Here is a 4,828-nt window from a genome sequence, read left to right as displayed (position 1 = left end):
CATCACTCTGAAAGTGTAACATTGTTTTCCGGAGCCAAAAAAGTATAATGAAATGGTGCATCCCTCATAACTTTACAAAAATAATAGAGACTAGATGATGAAATACAGCAAAAATATAGTAATATGTACAACTTCAAATTCTCAGTCATCAGTTGGAATTTCCATTGGCCATCAGTAAAACAACTTAAAGCATTTTGACTTGCCTTGCTAACAATTTTATCTGACAAAAGATTTTAAAATGTAGGTAATATAGGTGGGATAGGAAGTACATTTAGGAAATATTTTTAGCAAAAGGGGGGATGGGACGGCAAAGTGGAAGTGACAGAGACCTTGGCAGAAGACTATTGTGTTATCTCAGAGAACAGTGAGCAGAGTCAGAGGTGAAGCTGCTATGAGTGTCAATGATAATCTTTTCCTTTTTTATTTTAAAAAATGTCTATATGCCATTTTGTTGTTTTGGTATCTTTGAAGAATGACAGTTGGAAAAGAACATTTTTAACAGAAGTCTTATACATGGGTAGGTGAGAGGAAAAAGGAACATGGGGAAAAGGAAGCTAAAATAATGTTTTTCTAAGAAAATAATTTAAACAACAAGAAATTAGTTTTCTGAGAAAATGACCAAAAATTTTTATTTGAAGATGACAGATGCTCAAATAATAGCTGATTAATTTGTTTTTAGACAACTGACATACAACTTTTTAGCAGTCAAAATTCTTAGCCTATGTAGACTTGGGAAAAGATTGAGAAGTTGATTACTAAAAATAGACTAAGACACTTTTGTACCTAATTAAGCATCATATGAATGAGAAGTTCATGTAATCCTGAAAGAGCATGTCTTACCTGATTCCTCTATACTCAGACTATCCGAGAAATTGATTATGTTTTCTACATAAGTAAATATGTGTACCAGAAGCTCCATGTTCTCAAATTCTCACTCTCATCCTCTTCACTTTTGCCACAAATCTATTTCATTCCTTGCCTTTGTCATGCCATGACATGAAAGCACCAATAATAAGAAATTGTGCCAAAATACTTCATGATCTTTAAAAAATATTCAAGTTTTTGCCATCTGGACCCTGGTCTGATATGTTTAATGAATAATGAAACATTAAGATTGTATACCTGTTATTAAACTGAAAATTTATCACAAATAAATCACATTTAAATGCTTGCAATAAAGACTTTTTTTACTGTTTTGTTAGGGTTTGGTAGAGGGAACGAATGAAATAAAAAATATTTATGAATACTTATTTCTTATGAGTAGAGTTCCTATTTGAGAAATAGATAACACAGAATCTGGGTCTAGATTAGAACTTGAATTCTTTCTGTTCAAACCACTGGGATGTGCTACTGTAATATATTCACTGCCAAGAGACACATTACTGAGAAAATGATGAAATCTATCATAGACAGAAAAATTGACTTCCCATCAACTGCATAATATGAAAAGAAAAATTGTAATGAGAAGCACTGTCAAAATATGAAATAGTACAAAATATATTCATCATTCACATATGAGAAGAAAGAGAAGCACCTGCCCATAGCAGACACTTAAAGGTAAATGAACAATAGGTATAAGGATGGTAGTGCCTCATGTTTGGATGATGACGTTCACATTTGCCTCGTTCTATATTTACTGACAATTTTTTAACTTTAATAAGACCAGAGAAACAGATTCAACGAGGATGGAAGGTGTAGAGAAGTCTTAGCCAAAGACAATAATTACAGTACACCATAGGTCAAAAAGCCACAGGCTATTAGAGTTCAAATTACTATCATCCAATCCTGTTTAAATCCAATAGTACAACTTTAAAGAAGAATCTAAGCATTTATAAATATTTATGTATTCTGTATTGAGAGGTCAGTCCATTACTTGTTTTTCTTGCTTGCTTGCTTTTTTGAAGACCAAAAAAATAAAAATATTTAAGAAGCTTTCACAGAATTGGAGACATATATTTATTCTTTATTCACCTTTTCACATTGGAATATAAACATATTATTAATTGACCAACCAACTACATGCCAAAGCCAATAAAATCATGATGAGTAAAACCAATAAATACTTCAAGTGAGCTCATCCATCTCCCTAAAGTTATATATGAAATGTTTTCAAGAAAAGAATAAAAATTTTGAGAATTAATTTTTTATCTAATTTTCTGCATATCCATTTTAAAATACAAACAGATGACAAATTTAATATTTTGACATATGATTTGTAAGGCAGCATACAAATCTGAAATATTTCCACTAGACTGAGACAACTTATGCATTGTATTCTTTTTACTCACACTCCTAAACAGATGTTGGAAACAGCCATTTTCCTAACATATTTGTAGGCAGATTGCCCTAGTTTTAATTGCCAATCTTAACATTTTGCTTCTTAAAAAATTTACCTTATTTTATTTAAATGTATCAAGATTAAGTGTTGTAAAACTCACCCAACTTCTAAAATTTACCAGCAACACATAGCAAAAGGAATAAAATCGAGTTTGTGATGATTTGCCAAACTGCGGTACACAGAAACTCAATCTCATAATCTCCAAATTATTCTAGAAAATTATGAGAAACAGGTAACTAAAGAGAGAAATAACAAATGCCTTCCTGTATTTAAAGACCTCTAATGTGAAAGAAGCAGTGGAAAGAAAGCTGCATGGCCTTAGAAAGAAGTCTAATCCACTTAACAGATACTTCAAAAGAGTAGATTTTCACTCAAGACAATAAAAAAATTTTAATAGTTTAAAATATCTAATTATTTGTATGCCTGATGGTGATGATTGCTGTGTTGATAGAGATAGCCACTAAAATATACTACAGCTATCTGTCAGGGTTGTTTTAGAAAGTATTTTCATGTTAATGTTCCTAATACAAAAGAAAGGATAAATTCCTGAGGTTATAAATATTCTAATTACTTTGATGTGATTATTACTCATTGTATGCCTGTACCAAAACATCACATATACCCCCTAAATATATATTCCTATTATGGACCCATAAAAATTGAAAATAAAAAAAAATTTAAAAAGAGATGAGATGAAAAAAGCAGCAGTAATATCCCTTAAAATGTTAAATTCTGTGGTTCAAAAATAACACTTGTATTAAAATTGTTGCTTATCTGATATTTCATTTTCTTTCTCCTTTGAATTAAGGAAAATTGCATAGTGTCTTTTTGTAACTCAGAAGAAACAGCAAATGATTAAAATATGTTTAAAATGATTTAAAAATTGTTTAAAAAATCAACATTAGTTAGAGTATATGGAAATTGAATTTTTCATGTAGTATTGATGGAAAATAAATTATTATAAATGTTCCATAGGATCTAGGGATTGTGTGTGAGCATTTCTTGGGTTCAATAATAACATTCTCAGGAATTATCTCCCAGAGAAACACCATACAAGGTTATCTCAAAGTTACCCACAGGAAAACTCATCTTATTTTTAATAGTTTCAAATTTTAAGCAACTCAATAATGACTGACAATTAAACAAATTTTATTATATTAAATAATTTGTAGTACATAGAATATCAGGCAGTCATTAAAATTGATGATATAGAACTATTTTATTTATTTACACAAAGATGTAAGAAGGTGTATCCGTATAAACAAAACCTCTCTTTCTGTGAGTAAACACACATCAATACACATACATCCACAGACACACACTTAGACTCAGAGCTAAATATGGGCACTGATTTTTATACTTTTTCTTCTACTTATCCATATCATTTAACTTTGTTAAAAGGCATGTATTATTTTAATGAGTAAATATTGAATTATTTTCATAAGTAAAAAAATTATGACAGTTTATCTTCAGCATGGAGGATCTAAGAAAATAAAGAATAAAAGAAAAATTCTTTATTGATACAACGAAGAATGTGTCAAAATCAGCACACAAGATTAATGTACAGAAGTCAATTATGTTTCCATATGAACAAAATAACCCGCAAATGAAATGAAGAGAACAATTCTATTCATAATAGTGTCAAAATGCTTAGGAATGTATTGACTATATTAAATAAATATTTAGTGAGATCCTCCTGTATGACAGGCCCTGTTTTAGGCCCTGAAACAGGCTGACCAACAGATAGCACTCCCACCCTCATAGTTTCTATGCAGGGGGTTTGCATTTTTTAAATTTTCCAGATGAAGTTGCAATGAATTTTCACTCATAAGTAATTTTTATACTTAAATATGTGTTCTGTTAGATGGTTTTCTAGAATTGTTGTATTATAGGGCATGCAAATTTTAAAATTGTGATCAATATGGCCAATTGTCTTGTGAAAAGATGGTATTCACAGTCTATGAGAGTGCACTTACATTTAAACAATAGAAACCTGAGCATATAAATTTGCTTAAACTTAATGATTTTCAAATAGTTCCAGTTTTACAGTAAAATTAATTTCAAATGGAATTATTTAAATTCTTTACTTATCATCTAATTAAATTTAAATTATTGAATTAGCATCTAATTTACAGAAAGAAATCAAAACTGAACTACAACTATTGTACAGATAAGCTCATCCAAGAAGTAAAGATCTTCTTTGCTGAAAGCTAGAAACAACTGAATTTTTCAGTAATCATTCCTCATGTATAGAATAAGAAGGGTCATGTCATACTTCTTTTCAAAACTGAATCAAGTTAAAAAACTAAATCAAATATTTAAAAGAAAACCGCCCACCAAAAAAGGAAATTCCCTTCCCTCATTTGAAAATAGCAGTATGTTACCTCATTAAAATGCCAATATGTAAGGTATGTGAGGTTGGTAAAGAAGGAAAAAAAAAAAAAAAAAACTCTTGTCAACTCTGAGGTTAGCAGGCTTTGTAAAAGTGAC

At 30.0% G+C, this 4,828-nt stretch overlaps 1 annotated feature.

Annotated features, from left to right (window-relative positions):
• Window positions 206-406: a silencer, noted in NCBI's record as "peak7079 fragment used in MPRA reporter construct". NCBI's record gives its function as "represses an SCP1 promoter by STARR-seq MPRAs in K562 erythroleukemia cells {active_cell/tissue: K562}" and the evidence as "EXISTENCE:reporter gene assay evidence [ECO:0000049][PMID:32103011]".

This window comes from Homo sapiens, chromosome 8 (genome assembly GCF_000001405.40).
Source record: "Homo sapiens chromosome 8, GRCh38.p14 Primary Assembly".
Lineage (NCBI taxonomy): Eukaryota > Metazoa > Chordata > Mammalia > Primates > Hominidae > Homo > Homo sapiens.
Note: the sequence above shows the minus strand (reverse complement) of the source record. Positions and strands in the feature narration are given on the sequence as shown.